The sequence below is a fragment of the Homo sapiens genome, chromosome 2 (assembly GCF_000001405.40).
Source record: "Homo sapiens chromosome 2, GRCh38.p14 Primary Assembly".
Classification (NCBI taxonomy): domain Eukaryota; kingdom Metazoa; phylum Chordata; class Mammalia; order Primates; family Hominidae; genus Homo; species Homo sapiens.
Genome location: NC_000002.12, coordinates 178,340,988 through 178,365,760, shown reverse-complemented (window position 1 = coordinate 178,365,760; position 24,773 = coordinate 178,340,988). Strand labels below are relative to the sequence as shown.

General features: G+C 38.7%; 1 protein-coding gene across 50 annotated transcripts in view, besides 2 other annotated features; it reads right to left on the bottom strand.

The window, feature by feature from the left end:
- The window catches only part of OSBPL6 (oxysterol binding protein like 6), a 209,120-nt gene that overhangs the window by 37,133 nt on the left and 147,214 nt on the right, over positions 1-24,773 (bottom strand). For 31 of the 50 annotated variants that reach the window (XM_047443130.1, XM_047443154.1, XM_047443165.1 and 28 more), the window contains 2 exons: positions 16,372-16,537; positions 3,946-4,079 (listed from right to left, as the gene is read on the bottom strand). In XM_047443130.1, coding sequence (XP_047299086.1) covers positions 3,946-4,079; positions 16,372-16,537 — 300 coding nt within the window. Of the gene's footprint in view, positions 1-3,945; positions 4,080-16,371; positions 16,538-21,400; positions 21,476-24,773 lie in introns of all 50 variants that reach the window. The other 19 variants (XM_047443146.1, XM_047443150.1, XM_047443123.1 and 16 more) reach the window with 1 other exon arrangement.
- Positions 2,105-2,263: a silencer, noted in NCBI's record as "fragment chr2:179228225-179228383 (GRCh37/hg19 assembly coordinates)". NCBI's record gives its function as "represses an EF-1alpha promoter that drives an FKBP-Casp9 reporter gene in an ReSE screen in HepG2 liver carcinoma cells {active_cell/tissue: HepG2}" and the evidence as "EXISTENCE:reporter gene assay evidence [ECO:0000049][PMID:32094911]".
- Positions 12,793-13,293: an enhancer, noted in NCBI's record as "H3K27ac hESC enhancer chr2:179217195-179217695 (GRCh37/hg19 assembly coordinates)". NCBI's record gives its function as "activates a minimal SCP1, AML or CMV promoter by ChIP-STARR-seq in naive H9 embryonic stem cells {active_cell/tissue: H9 hESC(naive)}" and the evidence as "EXISTENCE:reporter gene assay evidence [ECO:0000049][PMID:30033119]".

The following is a 24,773-nucleotide window of genomic DNA, read 5'->3' as shown; positions in this document are numbered from 1 at the left end:
ATGGGGGTTAAATAATAGAATTATATATGTTTTTGTGTACATATAGATTGGGAAATAATATTACTTTATTTATTTTTATTTTTTTAAGACAGAGTCTCGCTCTGTCATCCAGGCTGGAGTGCAATGGTGCGATCTTGGCTCACTGCAACCTCTGCCTCCCAGGTTCAAGCAATTCTCCTGCCTCAGCCTCCCAAGTAGCTGGGATTACAGGCACCTGCCACCACGCCCAGCTAATTTTTTGTATTTTTAGTAGAGAAGGGGTTTCACCATGTTGACCAGGCTGGTTGAAGTAACATTACTTTAGAAGAGCAATTCATTAGACTGTCCAGCCTTGCAAATTTTTGTTTGCTCAAGGCAGGTAACAATTTATGCTAAGCATGTTGTAAAAATGCTAATTTCAAGTATTTTATCTGCTATGTGCCTTCGAAAAGACGATAAAATTTGCTGAGTCTGATATATTTAAAGCCTTGTTGAAATGCAGCACTTTAATCATTAGACATACATCAAATAGGACTTATGTCAAATAAAACATAGGCTTTAAAAGTTTTAGACTACTTAAATAAGTTTTTTATTTATTTATTTTTGAGATGGAGTTTCACTCTCATTGCTCAGGCTGGAGTGCAATGGCATGATCTCAGCTCATTGCAACCTCCACCTCCTGGGTTCAAGTGATTCTCCTGCCTCAACCTCCCAAACAGCTGGGATTATAGGCGCCCGCCACCACGCCCAGCTAATTTTTGTATTTTCAGTAGAGATGGGGTTTCGCCTGTTGGCCAGGCTGGTCTCGAACTCCTGACCTCATGATCCACCCACCTCGGCCTCCCAAAGTGCTGGGATTATTTTGAGCCACCGCGCCCGGCCAGCCTGTCGTTTAAATGTTAATGTTCTCTACAGCAGCAGGAGCACCACTGACCATTTTATTCTGACTGCATTGCAACTCGTCAACATCTATAACTGCCCTGATATGCAGGGGCATCCATCTTCCTCTCTAGCCTAGACCTGTCTTCTGAGCTCTAGACATAAATATCTAATTGCCTGTAAAATGCCCCACAGACACCTCAATCTCCACAGAAATCCATCATCAAATACCTAAAGCAAACCAGCTCCTCTTGTAGTCCCACCTTGGGGACAATAACTTTCACATACCCAGTTATCCAAGCAAAAACCCTGGACTGTCTCGACTCTGTGTCCTTGTCCCTCTCTAACATTCCGCTGATCTCCAAGCCATGCTGATTCTCCCTCCTGGGTGTCTTTGAAATGTATTCCCTCCTTCCACCAATGCTGGCATGGCACTTCCTCAGTTTAGAAATATCTCAAATGTACAAGCTATTCTCAAATTATCTCAAATACCATAAGAATCTGTCCAACTAGCCTTGCCTCCCAATTCCACCTACCCTCCATACTGTACCAGAGTAATCTTTCTAATATGCAGAAATATGCTGTAATAGTTCTAATTTCTGGCATTATCATTTACCAGTTAAAATTGTTAACTGATAGGATAAATCCAAAACCCTCTGTGGAGTCCCTGATGAGCTGGTTCTTGCCTACTTAATCAGCTACTCTTAAGAGTAATTCTTCCTTCTTCATCTCCTACTTCTTCCACTATGAACTACCTGCCATTCTCCAGACACCTCTCCAACGGCCTAACCATGAATAACAATTTGTTAGAAAGGAAAGAACTGTCAGTAAACTTAAATACCTTAAGCAAAGGCTGCTGTGGTTTCCAAAAGGGAGTCCACACTTAGAGGTGACGGGAATAGATGGCCAGTGGGGGTGCGACTACGCCGAGGGGAAGGCATGGACACACACGGGGATGTGAACATCACCAAAATGCTGGGATGACACACAGCTGCAAGCACTGAATTATCTACTGGATAGGCTGTAACGGTCTATTTGAAACTTAATAGTTCCAAATTATTTTCACATCTTTTAAGGCTAAAATTGAGATTTTTTTGTAAAAATAAAAATAAAAAATCCAACAAAAATCTATTGAGGCTCTAACTTTAGATGCAAATAAATATGTGTTGACAAGAGAGGGAAATATGTTAACCCCAAGGAAGCACAGTTGATCAAATTTTGCTTTATTTTACTTTTATCATGTTAGCATCAGACCCTTCCTTGTGAGCGGCTGCTGTCTACTCAGGCCAGGTTCAAGGTCTGATTCCTCCAAGAAGCCTGATCTGTGGCTCTGCTCTCAACTCAGGGATCTGCCATTCCTCTGAGCAACCAGAGCCCGGGAAATGTGCACCACCATGTACTGCTCTGAATGTACTACGGTGTGCTCCATTTCACTGTTTCCTGCTCATCTCATGAATCAGATCACGAGCTTGCTGGGAACATGGCCAGGGCTACTTTAACCTTGGTGTTCTGTACCTTGCACAATACCTAGCATATAGTCACCCGAATGGAATACAATGAATAAGGGAATGAACAAATGAATAACTGTTGTAAAATTTCTCTTCATAATTATTTCTAATCTCACCTGAAGCCCGACCCGAGATCTTTATTTACCATTCTCTGTTTCACCTACAAGCAAATAAAAGCAAGCAAGCAGGCAAGCAAGAAACAAATGCATTTTCTTGTTTTTCTTAGTAAAGCTTGACTTCTAACTCTAAGCCTCCATCATTAAATACATCTGAAGGAATCATTGCAACACTTAGGGGGACAAGAATGTATTTTATATGTTTACAAGATGACATTTGAATGTTTACTTGACCAATATTTTGATCTTTCTGATTCACGATACTTTCAGAATAATGATTTGGAAGACCAATTAACGTCAACTGAGTGTTCGACCGATCCATGACATGAGAAGGGTCCAGGGAAAGCCATTAAAATGTTCTTCTAAATAAAGCCCTCTGAAGACTGGCAGAATCGTAGCGGATTTTCACGCTCATGCTCCTGAGACCCCTGGCTTTATACTGGAAGCAGCATATGCCCCTCAGCTGACAGTGTTTTATGGATAATGCAGAAAGTGTGGCCCATATAACAACATCCATGACATGAAACTTAACACTGAAAATACGCCGACAGTTCAGGGACGTAAAACACGGTGACACGGTGTAAGTCTACTTTTTAGGGACCGAGGGAAACTGTTCAAGCAGGATCTGCTCCACGCGGAGAACCACTTACCCAGGATTTGCTTGCTCCTTCACTCTGATCCAAGGCACCAGGAAGTGAATAATATTTTATATAGACACCGAGTTCTCACAAAATCACATAACGACATTGAATTCTTAAAGGAGTTAAGTCAGTGCATTTATAGACTAAAGAAAATACTTACTTCTAAGGAACTACTCAGTTGAAAAAAGCATAAGCACAGCTCTAAAGGATTTTTATCAGAAATTTCAACTTTGATATAGATACATAGGGATTTGATTAGTATTAATAAGATCAACTCTATAATATATATTGAAATATAAAAGTCTAGTTCAGGGAGCATAACTTAGGAAGAAAACCTCAAGAGTGCAAATCAGAAAAGAAAAAAATGAGTGATAGTAATCAGTAATTTTAAACAGATTAAGATGTAAGTGGGAAAAATATTAAGTGTGGAAGATCTAGTACATTTTTAAAAAATATTCACTATTGGACTGAATATATCCTGGAACACATTTCAGATGTATAGGTCAAATAAATGCATAATTCTTTTTTTAAAATGAGGGGCTACCTTATAAATGACCTTAGAGAAGCATTAAGTGTTCAATTGGCCAAAATTACCATTATACGCTTACAAGCAAGTTTGGTTTATTTTCACTCTTACCTTGAAATTTTGGGGAAGAAAAGTAGTAAAATCTAATACTGACACTGCAGTCTTTTGGGGGAAATTCTGCAAACTGTACTATCCCCATGACTAGCCACCTCCCTGCCAGCCCCCCATCTTTTGATCTTTCATCTTACAGGGTTGGGAGTGTGTCATGTACATGCAAACACACACTCTTTGCCTACCTGAGACAGTGACTGTCGGAGCCGTGCCATCTGCGTGCTGTGGCCTTTACTGTGATCCTGCTCGGAAACCATCTGCTTCAGCTTCTCCTTCTCTATAGCTATGCTATTAAATGCAGACTTCAAAAGAGAATGCACTGGGTGGGGAGAAAAGTGAGAAAAAACTGTCAGATATGTGCAGAAAGAATACACAACATTATAAATTTCTCCAGACTTTCACTCACAAATAGGCATTTTTTGGAAAGGCTATGTAATAGTCTAATTAAAAATCAGCCTTCAAAAGGAATCTTTATCAGGATATCTATACTCCACACAAATATTACAATGGCAATTGATCAGAGTGAAAAATTTGTTTTTTATACCAGACAGGCCAACAAAAATCTGGAAGTAGCATGTAAAATATCAAGATCAATGCAAAGTATCAATATTTAGAAATTAACTTATAATCCCTAGAAAGAATAGGGAACAAGTTTACTTGCCATATTTGATTATCATATTTGAGCAGTTCTGTGTAGCATAAAGTCTCACATAAATAATTTAGAACTATCCAAAAATATTCTCCAAAAGCATGCACCCAAAAAGAGCATTTTATGCATTCTGCCAACATAAAACAGGTGGCTGATCAAGAAGTTTTGACTGGTTCTCTTGGAGGTAGGAAATGATATGCCTTTAAGAACAGCACTTGCGTTGCTTTCTCAGACAGGAATATCTTGTTGTTAAAGTGCTTTGATTTAAAAGCAACAATAAAAACAACACCCCCTCCCCATTTCCTACATACCTAACAAATTAGCATTGGTAAAATCTGAGGCAGTCTTCAATCGTGAACTACAGAAAGGGTGACTTTCCAACATCTATTTTTATAATAACAGAGTTTCTATAATATGCAAAGTATTCTAAAATAGGTATTTCCTTATTTGAGAAAGGTATTTATAAAAGTGGAAATTTTTAGCATAAAATAGAGTGGCTGAATTACAGGGGGAAAATGGCAGGATCACAAGGGATTCACGATCTATTGATTTATGTGCTACATTCTGTCATCATCAATTTAAAGGTAATAACTTGATAGCTGGATTACATTAATCCTGCTGGTAGCTCTAAAAGCAAGCTCTTCATCCATTTTAAAATAACGCTTCCAAAAAAGTTCATGCAATAGTCATAGAAAAGTTCTTTTGTTTCTTTGCCTAGCATAGAGAATTTGTGTGTCTGTTGAAAATATGTAGTTTCAATGGAGGCTTAAAAATTTTTTTTATTGTGTATGTATTTAAGGTATATAGTATGATGTTATAAGATACATATAAGTAGTAAAATGGTTAGCTTTAAAAAATTTATTGTGTATATATTTAATGTATACAACATGATGTCATAAGATACATATATGTAATAAAACGGTTACTGTGGTGGAACAAATTAACATATCCATCGTCTTATCCATTTCCCGCCCCCCCACCGCGCTGTGGCAAGAACAGCTATAATCTACTAATTTAGCAAAAGTCCTGAATATAACACACTATTATTAACTATAATCTTCACAATGTAGATTAGATCTTTCTACTTGTTCATCCTACACATTTGCTACTTTGTGTCCTTTGACCTACATCTCCCCTCCACTGCCATCCTGGTAGTCACTGTTTTATTCTCTCTCTATATATACTTGACTTAAAAGAAACAAAAAGTTTCCATATATAAGTGAGATCATGCAATACTATTTTCTGGGACTGGCTTCTTTTTTTTTTTGAGACAGAGTCTCACTTTGTCACCCAGGATGGAGTGCAGCGGCACAAGCCACTCATTACAACTTCCGCCTCCTGTGTTCAAGCAATTCTCGTGCATCAGCCTCTTAAGTAGCTGGGATTACAGGCAGGCACCACCACGCCTGACTAATTTTCGTAATTTTAGTAGAGACGGGATTTGCCATGTTGACCAGACTGCTCTCAAACTCTTGGCCTCAAGCAATCTGCTCACTGCAGCCTCCCAAAGTGCTGGTATTACAAGTGTGAGCCACTGCACCTGGCCAAGTCTGGCTTATTTCACTTAGCATAATGTCCTTCAGGCCCATCCATGCTATGGCAATTGGCAGGATCGCTTCCTTTTTGAAGGCTGAATAATACTCCATTGTGTATGTGTATACCACAGTTTCTTTATCCATTTGTCCACTGACAGATACCTGGGTGGTTTCCACTTTTTGGCTATTGTGAATAATGCTGCAATGAACATGTGAGTGCAGATAACTTTACAACAGGGTGATTTCGTTTCCTGTAGATATATGCCCAGAAGAGGGACTGCTGGGTCATATGGTAGTTCTATTTTTAATTATTTTAAGAATCTCTGTACTATTTTCCGGTGTATATGGCTGCACCAACGTACACTCCCAACAACAGTGTACAAAGGTTTCATTTTCTCCACACCCTTGCCGACATTTGTCTCGTCTTTTTAATAACTATCCTAACAGGTGTGAGGTGGTGGCGCATAGTGGTTTTGATTTGCATTTCCCTAATGATTAGTGATGCTGATCACCTTTTTATGTACTTGTTGGTCATTTTTATGTCATCTTTGGAGAAGTATCTACTCAGATCCTTTGCTCATTTTAAAATCAGGCTATATGTTTTCTTTTTAAAAACATTTTTATTTATTTAATTTTTTTATGAGACAAGGTCCCACTCTGTTGTCTATTGTGGAGTGCAATGGCGTGATCATAGCTCACTGTAACCTCTAACTCCTGGGCTTAAGTGATCCTCCCACATCAGCCTCTCGAGTAGCTAGGACTACAGGCACACATTAACATGCCTGGCTAATTTTTTTAATTTTATTTTTTGTGGAGATGGAGTCTCACTATGTTGCTCATGCTTGTCTCGAATTCCTGGCCTCAAGTAAAGGTTATACGTTTTCTTCCTATTGAGTTGTATGAGTTCTTTATACATCCTGGATATTAAGCCCTTATCTGATACATGGTTTGCAAATATTTTTTCCCATTCTGTAGGTTACCTTTTTCTTTTGTTGATTGTTTTCTTTGCTGTGCAGAAGCTTATTTTTAAAAATTTACATGACAAGCTTTTTAGTTTGAAATTTTCCATTTATTTATTTTTGATTTTTTAGCCTGAATTTTTGGTGTTATATCTAAGAAATCCATTGCCAAGAACAATGTCAAGGAGCTTTTGCTCTACGTTTTCTTCTAGGAGTTTTATAGTTTCAGGTCTTACATTTAGGTCTTTTATCTATTTTTAGCTCACTTTTGTGTATGGTGTAAGATAAGGGTCCAATTTCATTCTTTTACATGTGGAAATCTGGTTTTCTTAGCATCTTTCATTGAACAAACTATCCTTTTCTCATTGTGCCTTTTTGGTGCCTTTGTTGAAAATTAGTTGATCATATATGTTTGGATTTATTTTGGGGCTCTCTTTTCTGTTCCAGAGGTCAATGTATCTGTTTTTAAGCCAATACCATACTATTTTGATTACTATAGCTTTGTAATATAATTTTAAATCAGGAAGCATGATGTTTTCAACTTTGTTGTTTTCCCCCCAGGTTGCTCTGGTTATCAAATTCTTTTGTGGTTCCATGTGAATTTTATTTATTTTTTAAATTTTTTTATTTTAGTTTAAATTCTAGGGTACATGTGCACAACGTGCAGGTTTGGTACATAGGTATACATGTGCCATGTTGCTTTGCTGCACCCATCAACTCATCATTTACATTAGGTATTTCTCCTAATGCTATCCCTCCCCCAGCCCCTCACCCCTGGACAGGCCCCAGCGTGTGATGTTCCCTGCCGTGTCCAAGTGTTCTTGTTATTCAATTCCCACCTATGAGTGAGAACAGGTGGTGTATGGTTTTCTGTCTTTGTGATAGTTTGCTGAGAATGATGGTTTCCAGCTTCATCCATGTCCCTGCAAAGGACATTAACTTATCCTTTTTTATGGCTGCATAGTATTCCATGGTGTATATGTGCCACATTTTCTTAATCCAGTCTATCATTGATGGACATTTGGGTTGGTTCCAAGACTCTGCTGTTGTGAATAGTGCCGCAATAAACATATGTGTGCATGTGTCTTTATAGTAGCATGATTTATAATCCTTTGGGTATATACCCAGTAACGGGATTGCTAGGTCAAATGGTATTTCTAGTTCTAGATCCTTGAGGAGTCACCACATGGTTTTTCACAATGGTTGAACTAATTTACACTTCCACAAACAGTGTAAAAGCGTTCCTATTTCTCCACATCCTCTCCAGAACCTGCTGTTTCCTGACTTTATAATGATGGCCATTTTAACTGGCATGAGATGGTATCTCATTGTAGTTTTAATTTGCATTTCTCTGATCACCAGTGATGATGAGCATTTTTTCATGTGTCTGTTGGCTGCATAAATGTCTTCTTTTGAGAAGTGTCTGTTCATATCCTTTGCCCACTTTTTGATGGGATTGTTTTTGCTTCTAAATTTGTTTGAGTTCTTCGTAGATTCTGAATACTAGCCCTTTGTCAGATGGGTAGATTGCAAAAATCTTCTCCCATTCTGTAGGTTGCCTGTTCATTCTGATGGTAGTTTCTTTCGCTGTGCAGAAGCTCTTTAGTTTCATTAGATCCCATTTGTCTATTTTGGCTTTTGTTGCCATTGCTTTTAGTGTTTTAGTCATGAAGTCCTTGCCCATGCCTATGTCCTGAATAGTATTGCTAAGGTTTTCTTCTAGAGTTTTTACAGTTTTAGGTCTAACGTTTAAGTCTTTAATCCATCTTGAATTAATTTTTGTATAAGGTGTAAGGAAGGGTCCAGTTTCAGCTTTCTACATATGGCTAGCCAGTTTTCCCAGCACCATTTATTAAATAGGGAATCCTTTCTCCATTGCTTGTTTTTGTCAGGTTTGTCAAAGATCAGATGGTTGTAGATGTGTGGTGTTGTTTCTGAGGCCTCTGTTCTGTTCCATTGGTCTATGTATCTGTTTTGGTACTAGTACCATGCTGTTTTGGTTACTGTAGCCTTGTAGTATAGTTTGAAATCAGGTAGCGTGATGCCTCCAGCTTTGTTCTTTTTGCTTAAGATTGTCTTGGCAATGTAGGCTCTTTTTTGTTTCCACATGAACTTTAAAGTAGCTTTTTCCAATTCTGTGAAGAAAGTCATTGGTAGCTTGATGGGGATGGCACTGAATCTATAAATTACCTTGGGCAGTATAGCCATTTTCACAATATTGATTCTTCCTATCTATGAGCATGGAATGTTCTTCCATTTGTTTGTGTCTTCTTTCATTTCATTGTGCAGTGGTGTGTAGTTCTCTTTGAAGAGGTCCTTCACATCCCTTGTAAGTTGGATTCCTAGGTATTTTATTCTCTTTGAAGCAATTGTGAATGGGAGTTCACTCATGATTTGGCTCTCTGTTTGTCTGTTATTGGTGTATAGGAATGCTTGTGATTTTTGCACATTGATTTTGTATCCTGAGATTTTGCTGAAGTTGCTTATCAGCTTAAGGAGATTTGGGGTGGCGGCAATGGGGTTTTCTAAATATACAATCATGTCATCTGCAAACAGGGACAATTTGACTTCCTCTTTTCCTAATTGAATACCCTTTATTTCTTTCTCTTGCCTGATTGCCCTGGCCAGAACTTCCAACACTATGTTGAATAGGAGTGGTGACAGATGGCATCTGTGTCTTGTGCTGGTTTTCAAAGGGAATGCTTCCAGTTTTTGCCCATTCAGTATGATATTGGCTGTGAATTTGTCATAAATAGATCTTATTATTTTGAGATATGTTCCATCAATACCTAGTTTATTGAGAGTTTTTAGCATGAAGGGCTGTAGAATTTTGTCAAAGGCCTTTTCTGCATCTATTGAGATAATCATGTGGTTTTTGTCATTGATTCTGTTTATGTGATGGATTACGTTTATTGATTTGCATATGTTGAACCAGCCTTGCATCCCAGGGATGAAGCTGACTTGATCGTGGTGGATAAGCTTTTTGATGTGCTACTGGATTCGGTTTGCCAGTATTTTATTGAGGATTTTTGCACTGATGTTCATCAGGGATATTGGTCTAAAATTCTCTTTTTTTGTTGTGTCTCTGCCAGGCTTTGGTATCAGGATGATGCTGGCCTCATAAAATGAGTTAGGGAGGATTCCATCTTTTTCTTTTGATTGGGATATTTTCAGAAGGAATGGTACCAGCTCCTCTTTGTACCTCTGGTAGAATTTGGCTATGAATCCATCTGGTCCTGTACTTTTTTTGGTTGGTAGGCTATTAATTATTGCTTCAATTTCAGAGCCTGGTATTGGTCTATTCAGAGATTCAACTTCTTCCTGGTTTGTCTTGGGAGGATGTATGCATCCAGGAATTTATCAATTTCTTGTAGATTTTCTAGTTTATTTGCGTAGAAGTGTTTATAGTATTCTCTGATGGCAGTTTGTATTTCTGTGGGTTTGGTGGTGATATCCCCTTTATCATTTTTTATTGCATCTATTTGACTCTTCTCTCTTTTCTAATTTATTAGTCTTGCTAGCAGTCTATCAATTTTGTTGATCTTTTCAAAAAACCAGCTCCTGGATTCATTAATTTTTTGAAGGGTTTTTTTGTGTCTCTATCTCTTTCAGTTCTGCACTGCTCTTAGTTATTTCGTGCCTTCTGCTAGTTTTTGAATTTGTTTGCTCTTGCTTCTCTAGTTCTTTTAATTGTGATGTTAGGGTGTTGGTTTTTGGATCTTCCTGCTTTCTCTTGTGGGCATTTAGTGCTATAAATTTCCCTCTACATACTGCTTTAAATGTGTCCCAGAGATTCTGGTAAGTTGTGTCTTTGTTCTCATTGGTTTCAAAGAACATCTTTATTTCTGCCTTCATTTCGTTAATTACCCAGTAGTCATTCAGAAGCAGGTTGTTCAGTTTCCATGTAGTTGTGCGGTTTTGAGTGAGTTTCTTAATCCTGAGTTCTAATTTGATTGCATTGTGGTCTGAGAGACAGTTTGCTGTGATTTCTGTTTTTTACATTTGCTGAGGAGTGCTTTACTTCCAATTATGTGGTCAATTTTAGAATAAGTGTGATGTGGTGCTGAGAAGAATATATATTCCATTGATTTGTGGTGGAGAGTTCTGTAGATGTCTATTAGGTCTGCTTGGTGCAGAGCTGAGTTCAAGTCCTGGATATCCTTGTTAACCTTCTGTCTCTTTGATCTGTCTAATATTGACAGTGGGGTGTTAAGTCTCCCATTATTATTGTGTGGGAGTCTAAATCTCCTTGTAGGTCTCCAAGGACTTGCCTTGTGAACCTGGGTGCTCCTGTATTGGGTGTATATATATTTAGGATAGTTAGCTCTTTTTGTTGAATTGATCACTTTACCATTATGTAATGGCCTTCTTTGTCTCTTTTGATCTTCGTTGGCTTAAAGTCTGTTTTATCAGAGACTAGGATTGCAACCCCTGCTTTTTTTTTGCTTTCCATTTGCTTGGTAGATCTTCCTCCATCCCTTTATTTTGAGCCTATGTGTGCCTCTGCACTTGAGATGAGTCTCCTGAATACAGCACACTGATGGGTCTTGACTCTTTATCCAATTTGCCAGTCTGTGTCTTTTAATTGGGGCATTTAGCCCATTTACGTTTAAAGTTAATATTCTTATGTGTGAATTTGATCCTGTCATTATGATGTTAGCTGGTGATTTTGCCTGTTAACTGACGCAGTTTCTTCATAGCATCAATGGTCTTTACAATTTGGCATGTTTTCGCAGTGGCTGGTACCAGTTGTTTCTTTCCATGTTTAGTGCTTCCTTCAGGAGCTCATGTAAGGCAGGCCTGGTGTTGACAAAATCTCCCAGCATTTGCTTGTCTGTAAAGGATTTTATTTCTCTTTCTTATGAAGCTTAGTTTGGCTGGATATGAAATTCTGGGTTGAAAATTCTTTAAGAATCTTGAATATTGGCCTTCACTGTCTTCTGGCTTATAGGCTTTCTGCTGAGAGATCCACTGTTAGCCTGATGGGCTTCCCTTTGTGGGTAACCCGACCTTTCTCTTGGGCTGCCCTTAATATTTTTTCCTTCATTTCAACTTTGGTGAATCTGACAATTATTTGCCTTGGGGTTGCTCTTGTTGAGGAGTATCTTTGTGGCATTTTCTGTATTTCCTGAATCTCGATGTTGGCCTGTCTTGCTAGGTTGGGGAAGTTCTGGATAATATCCTGAAGAGTGTTTTCCAACTTGGTTCAATTACCCCATCACTTTTAGGTAAACCTATCAAATGTAGATTTGGTCTTTTCACATAGTCCCATACTTCTTGGAGGCTTTGTTCATTTCTTTTCACTCTTTTTTCTCTAACCTTGTCTTCTTGTTTTATTTCATTAATTTGATATTCAATCACTGATACCCTTTCTTCCACTTGATCGAATCAGCTACTGAAGCTTGGGCATGCATCACAAAGTTCTTGTGCCATGGTTTTCAGCTCCATCAGGTCATTTAAGGTCCTCTCCACACTATTTATTCTAGATAGCCATTCGTCTAACCTTTTTTCAAGGTTTTTAGCTTCCTTGTGATGGGTTAGAACATGCTCCTTTAACTCGGAGAAGTTTGTTATTACTGACCTTCTGAAGCCTACTTATGCCAACTCATCAAAGTCATTCTCCATCCAGCTTTGTTCCATTGCTGGCAAGGAGCTGTGATCCTTTAGAGGAGAAGAGGTGCTCTGGTTTTTAGAATTTTCAGCTTTTCTGCTCTGGTTTCTCCCCATCTTTGTGGTTTTATCTACCTTTGGTCTTTGATGTTGGTGACCTACAAATGGGGTTTTGGTGTAGATGACCTTTTTGTTGATATTGATGCTATTCCTTTCTGTTTGTTAGTTTTCCTTCTAACAGTCAAGTTCTTCAGCTGCAGGTCTGTTGGAGTTTGCTGGAGGTCCACTTCTGACCATTTGACTGGGTATCAACAGTGGAGGCTGCAGAACAGCAAATATTGCTGCCTGATCCTTCCTCTGGAAGCTTCGTCTCAGAGAGGCACCCACCTATATGATGTGTCTGTTGGCCCTTACTGGGAGGTGTCTCCCAGTTAGGCTACATGGGGGTCAGGGACCCATGTGAGGAGGCATTCTGTCCGTTCTCAAAGCTCAGATGCCATGCTGGGAGAACCACTGCTCTCTTCAGAGCTATCAGACAGGGACGTTTAAGTCTGCAGAAGTTGTCTGCTGCCTTTTTTTCAACTATGCCCTGACCACAGAGGTGGAGTCTATAGAGGCAATAGGCCTTACTGAGCTGCAGTGGGCTCTGCCCAGTTCGAGCTTCCTGACTGCTTTGTTTACCTACTTGAGCCTCAGCAATGGTGGATGCCCCTCCCCCAGCCAGTCTGCCGCCTCGCAGTTCGATCTCAGACTGCCGTCCTAGCAGTAAGCAAGGCTCCATGGGCATAGGACCCACCAAGCCAGGCACAGGAGAGAATCTCCTTGTCTGCTGGTTGCTAAGACCTTGGGAAAAGTGCAGTATTTGGGTGGAAGTGTCCCGTTTTTCCAGGTACAGTCTGTCATGGCTTCCCTCGGTTAGGAAATGGAAATCCCCTGACCCCTCATGCTTCCTGGGAGAGGTAACGCCCTGCCCTGCTTTGGCCCACCCTCTGTGGGCTGCACCCACTGTCTAACCAGTCCCAATGAGATGAACCACGTACCTCAGTTGGAAATGCAGAAATCACCCATCTTCTGCATTGATCACACTGGGAGCTGCAGAATGGAGCTGTTCCTATTCTGCCATCTTGGAATGGAGTGCCCATGTAAATTTTATTATTGTTTTTCCTATATCTTGGAAGAGTGCCATTAGCATTTTGATAAGAATTATATTGAATCTGTATATTTCTTTAGGTAGTATGAGCCTTTTTTAGCTGTTATTTTAGGTTTGGGGGTAATATGTGAAGGTTTGTTACATAGGCAAACATGTGTCATGGAGGTTCATTGTACAGATTATTTCATCACTCAGGTATTAAGCCCAGTACCCAATAATTATCTTCTCTGTTCCTCTCCCTCCTCCCACCCTCCACCCTCAAATAGGCTCCAGTGTTTGTTGTTTCCTTCTTTGTGTTCATAAGTTGTTATCATTTAGCCCCCACTTGTAGTGAGAACACGTGGTATTTGGTTTTCTGTTCCTGCGTCAGTTTGCTGAGGATAATAACCTCTAGCTCCATCCATGTTCATGCAAAACACGTGATCTTGTTCTTTTTTTATGGCTGCAAGTATGAACACTCTAACAACATAACTTTTTGATCCATGAGTATGGAATATCTTTCATTTATTTGTGTCCTCTTTAATTTCTTTCACCAATTTTTTTTATAGTTCTCAGTGTACAGGTCTTTCAACTCCTTGCTTAAGTTTATTCCTAAGTATTTTATTTTATCATAAATAGGATAGATCTTGATTTCTTTTTTAGCTATGTTGTTATTCGTGTATAGAATAACAGGGTTTTGTATGTTCATTGTATATCCTGCAACTTTAATGAATTCATTCATTAGCTCTAACAGTTTCTTGGTGGCATCTTTTGGGTTTTCTACACATAGGATCATGTCATTTGCAAATAGAGATCATTTTACTTCTTCCTTTCTTATTTGGATACCTTTTATTTCTTTTTGTTGTCTAATTGCTCTTGATAGTACTTCCAGTACCATGTTGAACAGAAGCAGGAGGAGTGGGCCACCTTGCCTTGTACCAGATCTTAGAGGAAAAGCTTTCCATTTCTCCCCACTAAGTGATGTTAGCTGTGTGTTTTTAATAAAGGACCTTTATTATAATATATTGAGAAACTTTCCTTCTATACCTAAACCATTAAGAGTGTTTTTTTTATCAAGAAAGAGTATTGAACTTTGACAAATGCTTTTGCTGCAAATGACATGATTATGTGGTTTTTGTCTTTCAGTTGGTTAATGTGATGTATCATTCAACAGAAGCCTTAAAACTCTGTTGATGCTTGGATTTCCTGGAAGCTTCAGAATTGCAACCAAATACACAAAGTTTTCCTGGGGCTGCCTTCCAAAGTACCATCTCCCCTTAGCAGCTGTGCCATACTCATATATTCAACTCACACATCTGTGGTCACACTCTACCTTTTGCACCTCCTTCCCCAAAGTAGAAGTTACTGGCTATAAATCTATGCTGTTACATAAACAAATTAATATTGCTCTAGTCTAATATCATAATTAATATCCAGCTAAGAAATGCAATGAACATACACCAGGAGTAAAATGGCAGGTAAGAGAGAGCTGGCCTTACAGAAGAGTCTCAATTGAGAAATCTAAGGGGTTTAGCTTAATTGTTTTTAGAATCATAGAATTAATGAAATCTGACAGCATATTTTTGCGGATGGTTTGAGATTGCAAATGTTGGCTGATTCAACATTTCCAGAGAGATCTTCAGTGTGCCCCCTTCTTTTCCACCAGGCTGTTGAGTCTCAGGGAGGCACCTGAGGTGTTCTATTTAACATATTTGTGACGAAAAGCAATACAATGTTTATCTCTCTCTAGAAGATTTTAAAAGACAACGCCTGAGAAGATACTATCTTAAGAACAAACTTGAGTGGCTGAAAGTTCAATACTCTGGCAGTATAGGGAGCCTAGACTCTTCTTGTTAAACATTGACAGGACTGCTCAGTCCATCTACTCTCCACTATCCTGCTTATTTACCATAGCCTACTCTCTGCGGCTGATTATAACAATTTAATTTATACAACAAGCCTCACTGAAAATTTAACATAAAGAAGAGGCTCAAATGTGGGATCAATTTCCCCTCAAATCTGAGCTGGCCTATGGTGCTTTGACCAATAGAATACAATGGAAGTAGAAGGCTGCACCAGTTCCAGAGCTGGCCTTGAAGAGGACGTGCAGCTTCCACTACCAGGCTCTTGGAACCCTAAGCTGCCATGGAGAGGAAGGCGGCACAGTTGTGTGCAGCCTTCCAGCTGTCGTGCCAACGTGCTAGGCACAGGAGGGAAGCTACCTTGCGTCTTTCAGCCCAGCTCAGCCTGCAGCCGAATCCCAGTGACTGGGGCTAGTCAAAGACATCTGGCACAGAGGCTTTGCTGCTTAGCTGAGCCCTGCCTGAATTCCCGACCCACAAATTGTAAAGTCCAATACATGAGTGTTATTTAATAAAAAAAGAAATAAACAGAATCTAAAGAGAACCAATAAATACGTATTAAATGATAACCGAGAGACATTGAAAAAAATGTTGAGTAGTAGTATCTTGCCAGATTGCGTACAATAACTTTTTATCCCCAACCCCATGGCACTTTCTTTCTTTAGTCAAAACTGTAAACCTGTGATGTGTGATCTTCCAACAGGCAAGCATCATGTCCTGTTGCATTTTTGTATATAGAACTTCAACCACTATATCCAACCATTTAATCTTTCTATCATTACCACAAAGACAAAGATAAAAGAACAAAGGATAATCTTTCATCAAAGAAGAGAGCTTCTTTAAAGGGCGCATTATTTTTGTTCTTACCTTTCTGTGCGATTAGACAAAATTCTTCTTGCAGCTTTGTATAATCTGTTGAACTTTCCAGAGGGTCAGTGAGGTGGCTAGGGGGAGTCTGAAATTCAATATCTGCACAAAGGTTGGGGTTGGAGGAATGCAAGCGAACTGGTGACATGGTAGCACTGAAAGGAACCTGAAAGGGGAAGATACAAATTATTAAACAGCAACAGTGCATTGTTTCACATTCTCCTACATAGAAAAGACCTCTCCCGTTCTTCAAAATAATAGATTCCTCTCTGATAACACACTTGGAGACACTCAGTACTCATTTATTTTGCAGGCAGTTGGGGTAGGAAGAGGGAGTCTCATTTTCCATTGTTGATTTAGAACTGCCACAGACTCACCAATTTTTCACTGCTACAGAGAGAAATAACTATAGAATGACAGGAAGAAAAGACATAATCCCAAGCAAGCTTAAACTCTGAACTCATACTTGCACCTCAAAAATAACTGGCAGAAAAACAGCAGTCTGAACTGTGATGTAGCTGACCTTCTCTTACAGTCTGGACTATCTGATCCTGGAGCAGGATCTTACTAAACCTGTGAAAATTCAAGAGATGCATATACTGGAAGATTCACTTACTCTGTAGCCATTAAATAAAAAACAAATCAGGCTTAACAGGAAATACAGTAATGGCTTAAAGAGACTCATACTTATTTTGGAAACTGACTTATTAAAATCTATATTAGTAAATGAAATATATATGATATAAATCTCTGTGGTTTACCTTTGTATGTTACACACAACTCTATTACATATATGCACATGGCTCATGAACCAGCCAATACTGAGAAGCAGTAAGTAGAAAAAGTCATATTACTATAGATTTTTCCACATGGCTAGAGGTACTTCCTTGCCCAGGCTGGATATGGACTAGGTTCCTGATTGGTGGAGGCAAAGCACCTTTTCCTCCCCTTTAAGAAGGCTTTACCTGAACATTACAAATGTCAGCCAAACATTCCTGGAAAAGGAAAATACCAATTCTTCCTGCAAATCAGATCACAAACAACTTTTCCCTATTTCTTACTGCAAAGACGTGCATTCAATTATCTTCAAGAACCAGACTCTTAGACTCCACCACAAGTTGAAATTTTGTGTAACTGACAGGATAATTCACACCCCCTGGCTAACAGGGAATGTGCTGTGGGAGGAAGGAACCATTACCTTCTGATGGATATGTATGTCAGGACCTCTTCTTTTTTAATTTTTTGGTTTTTGCTTTAAACTTCCTATTTGGTGAGAGAAAGGGGGAAGGAGAAGAGGGCACTTTTTCTCCAAGGATTTAGAGGACACATGGAAGAGATGGAAAGAATCAAAATATCTGGCCTGAGCTGCAGGTTAAGGGCAGTTGAGACAGAGCGTCCTTCTGATGCAGCATTGTCCTGGCAGGGATTTATTTCTCTTAAAAGATATCCAGGACTTACTGGGGAAGAAAGTGAGCATGAAGCTTTCCCCTCCCCAAAATTCAGCTAAGCTAAGCATGCTAATATATGTTATTTGAATCATTTGGTATCTGGAGTTATCAAAGGAACCCTACCTCATCTTCTTTGGAGAACTTGGCTACACTGGGCTGGGAGATGATTGTTAAACAGCTTGTTTATCAATATTATCAGGCTGAAAATTTCTGGCTATTCTAGATTTGAGACCCAGAAGTGGCCAATAAGCCATTTAAGAAAATGGAGTGCTGGGGTTCAATACTCTGCTGGAATCCTGTCCAGGTAACTTAATAATAACAAGGACTGAGGACCTTTTAGGATACTTACAAAGGAATGGTATTTATGTGGCAGAATGTCAGAAGACAGAGAAAGGAAGTTCAGACCCTAACTGTGGTGATGCTCAATCTAGAAAGAGCAGTCAGCCCATTGAGGGACACAGACTCCATGGAAAAGTTGCTGGAGATTAGGATGTCATGGGGAGAGACTGTGAGTGGAAAAAATAGGTAGATCTGGGAGTTTTCAGAATTAATGGTACAGTTTTCTGATATAAGGAACTAGAACAACATTAAAAAAAATAAATGCGGGTCTTTGGTAATATGTTGAGGATCATGGAAAAGGATTTTATCTGCATTCAGGTGCCCTCAACACTCTGAGGACTCACATGGCTTGGAAGAGGAGTCTCTTCCTCTAGCGGGTGAGGAATGGGGTCATGAGAGTTGGCGGGAAGCTTGTATAGGAGGCCATTATGCAGTGAAAACCCAGGGAGTCCAGGAAGGACCCAGACTTGTCCCTGAGATAAATTATTATTTCTCTATTAAATGTTGGAGTCAGATGCTGAGAAGAAAAACGTAAGTTACAAATTTATATTTTGAACACAATGGAAACTTAAATTGGCTATTAAAACAGTAAAAGTGGTTTTGCATATTACCCACAGGGAAAGAGACTTGAATGTTCCATTCAAATTGCAATCAGATGGTTCCCTGGGAATTGAGAACTAATTTTCACATACTTCTGACTGAAAATGTTTATATATTGGTATACTTTTTTTTGTTAAAAGAGGTACGTGGAATGGGCCATTTTAATTGAGGAATTCATGAAATGAAATTGAGAATACAAATTGGGATGTATTAATCTAACCCTAATTGAATATCTGTTCAGACTGGGGACTTATTTACTTAGCTTTTTATTCATCAATTTGGGTATTATAGGATTCAAAAATCTAAGTGGTAACTGGTTTCTCTGTCAGTGATGGTTGGAGTGGGAGCTGCCTACAGCTCTCCATGTTGATACCTGAGAACCCTCAACACTCAATTTGGGCCTTTCTACCCTGCGCAGGAAAGAAATCCAAGGCTTTCTTGAAGTCCTGTGAAAGGAGGGAAGCCTGATCGTAGAATATTCTGGTAGTAAGAACTGAAGTTTGGAATGGGGACATTAGGAGATGCTCTTAAGTCCTGTCCATGAATAAGTCAAAAGTGAAATGAATTGACAATGGAGTTGCTGACAGTGAAATTCAGCAACGGTAGACATGAAAGTCTACACAGTAGGTCTAAGGTAGATACTATGCTTACAGGACTCATCGAGCCAGTGGGAAAAGTCTCCTGCTGTTGCTGTTCTGCACTATGTGTACAGGGATTCTTTGAGGGTACTGACTGCATTGGGATCCTCAGTGTTCTTCCATGGGAAAGAGCCAGTATTTATCTTTTTCCAGTCTCCTGTTCTGTTGGGTCTGGCTGCTGCTGTGAGTTGGCTGTTCTGAATGCTAGTGCTAAGAGTCATCAAGAGCAAATTTCTGAAACATCTGCTAGATGTTGCTGCATTTTGGTATGGAGACAAAGCTATAGATCCTGGAGTAGCCAGTCCCCCTAGTTATTCCTGAATACCTTATTAAATGTTGCCAGTAGCTTTTCTTACTACATGCTGCAAAGTTTTTCTCGTAACTTCTATAGTCACCCTGGGAGGTGGGCATTAATGATTTCTTCTTTTAAAGGCTTTTTCTCTTCTACTCTCAATTTTAAAAATATAAACCCATTCTATTCAAATAGGTGCTAATCTCAGTTTTATTATATTCACTGTATGTATCTGCAATTTAAAAGAATGAACACAGAAGAGACAGAATCACTTCTCTGCATGCCATCTTAGATGTATATTGCTTAAGAAAACAGTGTTTTCATAAAATGATGGACTGTTCCTTTCCATACTAAGTTGTTGTTCTCTCTCTAATAACCATGTGTATTTCTTAATTTTATAAATGGAAAATTACCTTTAATAATACTTAACTGATTATATATGCATCTATTGTCAGAATCTGTTACCACATCAGTGTCATGGGATTTATTCATCTGCATTTGAATACATGCATAAGATATACATGGACCATGAAAGCTATTTCAATAATTTGTTTGTTCAAATGTTTACAAAACTGTGAGTTTAAGAGTCATTTCCCTAATAAATTCCAAGTCACTGGTTCATTTCATAATCAAAAGCAAATTTGTTTCTCAGTCTAGCTAAACACCCACATATAAGGCAAGAGCCAATTACTAATCATAAAGTAGAAAGCCACCCATCCTCATACCAGCATCCATTCTCCTGCAATGCAGCCAAAACTTTTTCATATTTTTTCAGCAATTCTAGTCTTAAAATACATTCCACCCTTAGTGACAGCAAGACTGCTGTTAATTAAGGAAATATTATCTAATAGCCAAAAAACTAAAATCTATGATTGCTGTGAACTCAGTAATCTATATTTTAAGATGTTCATAGGTGCTCATGATTAAACAAATATTATAATTGGCTTTTATCCAGCAAGGAGTTCTTGTGTTTTGATAGTCTATTTTATATTCTGTAGACAAGTCACTCACTATCCATTTGCCTTATCTACCTCGATATGTTCTCTACTCTCCTTAAATCCATTCTATTTTCTCTCAGAAAAAAAAACCTCTAGATATGGATTTAAATACCATAAAACTGTCTTTTTTTTGTCATTTCCACACTACAGTTTCTAATTTTCATGTCAATATTCTTTTCAGAAAACAATTTTCCCTTGCTAAGTGTAACTTGGGTAGCCATTTAGAGATGACAGCAAAATTCACCTTTTCTTACCCTCTCATTTCTTTATTCTCACATCCTTTTCAAATAGTCACACTGCTACAAAAAAAAGCACAATTTATGCCTGTAGTAACATGACTTTTCTTAGGAAAAGAGAAATCAGTTAGCAAAAGTTCCAATATCAGTATGGTCAAAAAGAAAAAAAAACAATATAATTTAAGGAAAGCTCACATCATGGGGCACTGTACTCAATTTTGCAAATTTGACTTAAATTATGTCTTCATGTATAGTAGAAGAACTAGATTATATAATAGTTCTCCATTGTAAAAAGGAATACCCGTGTTCGACTCCTGCCATGCAAAGACAGCCAGAGAACATGTGAAAGCTATGCTGCCATGATTGGGCTACAGGTGATGCCATCACACACCAGTGGCACCATCAGGACAGGGGAGTCATCCTTGTACACAGGTTCTCATTCTTATTAAACTTCCACTTGAGATTGAAATCCACTCACTGTTGTAGCCACTGCTGCCGCTAGCCTCTGCCGGCGCCGAGTTGTGCTGAACTGGCCCTTCGCGGGTGGCCCTTCCTGACGGTGAATGGGAGAAGAGGGGAGGAAACACAGGACGGGGGAGGAAAGGATGGAAGATGGGAGGATGAAAGATAATCAGACAAGGAGAGGGAGAGTTTTTAACTGAAGTCGACTTTTCTTAAATCAGCATCGAAAAGCGCTCACAGGGGAGTTCATGCTATGAGAAATGTTCATCATTCTCATTACTCAAACATCTGAATTCTATTTGCTGACTATAACCCACACCCCAAAAGGAGATGGAGTTATAAACTGATGGACAGCCTGCGATTTTAAGGTAAAATAAATATGCATACTGTTTTATTCATATGATATCATGTTATATGAAGTCAAAAGGTATTCAATAAACGGTAGCAAGGAAAAAGTAAGTTCAGGAAAAACTGATGAAATAATGTGGGAAGGCTAAAATGAACAGGTTGTAATGAGAGCCTCATAATGGCCAGACAGAATTTTTTTTGTTTTTTTAATTTCTTACTGGAAGAAAAAAAGTAAGGGAAGGGTATGAGGGTTCTTCGACTTCCTACTTAATCTCCTATTATACAGCTCACTATCTGGGACTCAACATCAGTAAGAGTGCTGGGATTTTCAAGTCTAAGAATTTTCCAAGGAAGATGCCAGACCCCATAAGATCAGAAAAGAAAACTTAAGTTCCTCAGTGGGTGAGGACAATGCCTATAAAAATCAACTATGAAAACCTGAAAGCATAGTTTTCATTTAGTAATGTGCACCTATGCACAAACCGGTAGAAGAATCCTACAGCTTTCTTTCATTTTGTTTTCTTCTTCTTGGTGGATGGGATTAAGGGATGATGATATTTCCTTCTAACCATTCAACTTTGCCTCCATCTGACAGACCCTGACACCTCAAGGTTGTGAGCAATACTTTTTTTTTTCTTTTTTGAGATAGGGTCTCACTCTGTTGCCCAGGCTGGAGTGTTGTGGCACGATCATAGCTCATTGCAGCCTTGAACTTCTGGCCTCAAGCGACCCTCCCACCTTGGCTTCCTGACATGCTGGGATTACAGGCATGAGCCACCTTGCCCAGCCATGAGCAATAATTTCATTTCCAAATAATTAAGATATACTTTCTTAGAATCTCCTAACAGCCCAAACTGAAGAACCAGTAGGACCACTTTAGTTTTTTTTGGGATGTCAGAAAAATATTTAAACTTTTTCTACCTCTAAATCTTCAAAAAAGTTCCAAAATTACGATCTTATTTATTTTCCATCTTCATAAGTCTTCTGCATACATATATGTATATGTTTGTCATACATACATACACACATAATCTGTTTTCCACAAAAAAAAATTTCTAGACAAAATCCTTTCTACTTAATGTAGTAAAAGGGGGAAGAACTTATTCTCACCCTTCAGTGTAATTTGAGCATCTATGAGATGCAGGACAGCTACACAGGAGCAACATAAGATCATCTGTCTGCTACTATGTACTTTCTACTATTCCTCATTCCCTTCAACATCCAGGGATCTAGTATTTAATTCATATGATCAGCAACACAGGAGATCTAACCGCTCTTTCAAAATCATTTCCTTCTTGCCTTCCTCTTACTTCATTTAAAACACAGCCAAATTGTTACTGCATAATGGTACTGAGATTTTTATTCGAACCAGGAAGTTTGAAGTTTAGGAGGCAAGAAGAAATCCTTATTCTAAAAGGTAATCTCCACAGAACCCTCTAGGACAAATGCTGACTTCATGAGTTATACAATGTGGATTTCTGAGGCCAACTGCCCAATAGTTTCCAGTAGAAACATGGCCATACCAGTCTAGAATTTAACCTTCTCATTTAATCAATAGCACAATCTAACCTACACAAGAATAAGCAATCAAACATCCAGTATAACATGTTTTTCATTTTTACTTTCTTGCGGTCAATTTTTTTAATGATCTATTTAAAATTTTTTCAAAATGACAACTACTATGGAATACTGAATACAAAGTTCAGTAACACAACATTGATAACAACAACAGCAGCAACAATACCACAACCACCACCACTGAATGGTCTGGGCACCTTCACAATGGCTGTTGTACTTAGTTACGAAGAAGAGTGGGGACAGAAAATGAGCTCTCACTGCTTGAGAGCCTCTCATATTGGCTGCAACATCAGCGAAAGTGGTTTGAGTGGTGAGATGATCATTGACTCAAAACAAATACTTGGACTCATTAGATAGAATTCTCATGATCAAAACATTTAAAACAGGAGGGGAAAAAGCTGGGTATGAGGTAGGAGAAAGTGGTGGGTATCTTTAATCCACTAGAGTAAAATTAGATGCTATGCCTCTCTCTAGGCAAAATACTGAGTAAAGATTTTCATGTTGTCATACTCATCCTAGATGAACTTATGATTCCCTAGCCAAGTGTGAATTTTGAAGGATCTTGGAGGAACTTCCCAGTAGTAGAGAATGAGTATCCTGAGGCTCCTGCAAGACCTGTTGGTTTGGGCAAGCAGAAAAGGTCCACAGATAGGACCAAGCTCTGCTGTGTTCCCCTTAAAATACCTTTTGTTTTAGTCCAGGTGGAAGTGGAGTTTCTCTGGGAATGATTAACAGCTTACTGTCTATTTGTTTCTTCTTGGAATTGGAACTAAATCTCCCACTTCCAATAGGCAGTTGTCTTTGAGTGTCTTTGAGGGATGAGATGATTTCAATTTCCCTCAAAAGTAACTAAACTAGAATTACAAAGGCCATTTTATTACCCTTAGCAAAGTCACAAACAAGGTGAAATAGCATAAATAAAAATTTAAAAACAAATGAACCACCCAAAGATGTGGCGGAAGTATGAATGAATATTTTCTAGCTTTTTGGACATTTTCTCCTGATGACTCAAAAAAATCTTCATAACTTTTCTGTCTATGTAAAACCACAGGCTGAGAGGCTAGGTGGTATAGTCCCAGTTGCATTCTGTGTCCTTCAGAAAAAAAAAAAAAAAAAAGAATGATTTGGGGGTCTCTAGTGGAGCTCCTAGATGCAGCAAGGTAGCTGGGACATTGAACTACAACTCACTGAGAACCAACCTATCCAAGACAACAGCTCTGAACAAGAATGTGGTCAATAGCATACACTACAGACACAAGATTAAAACAATATCTATTAACAAGTGTATGTGTTCTTTCTTGTGATGCAGGCCTTCTTCAATTATTTTATTTAGAGGAATGATTCTTTTACTTACAAACAAAACTAGACACTCACAAGTTCAAAAACAATAAAACTGCCAAAAGCAATTTTAAGTAATTTTCTTGTGAAATCACTCGGCACATCTGTCCCTACAATATTAATTT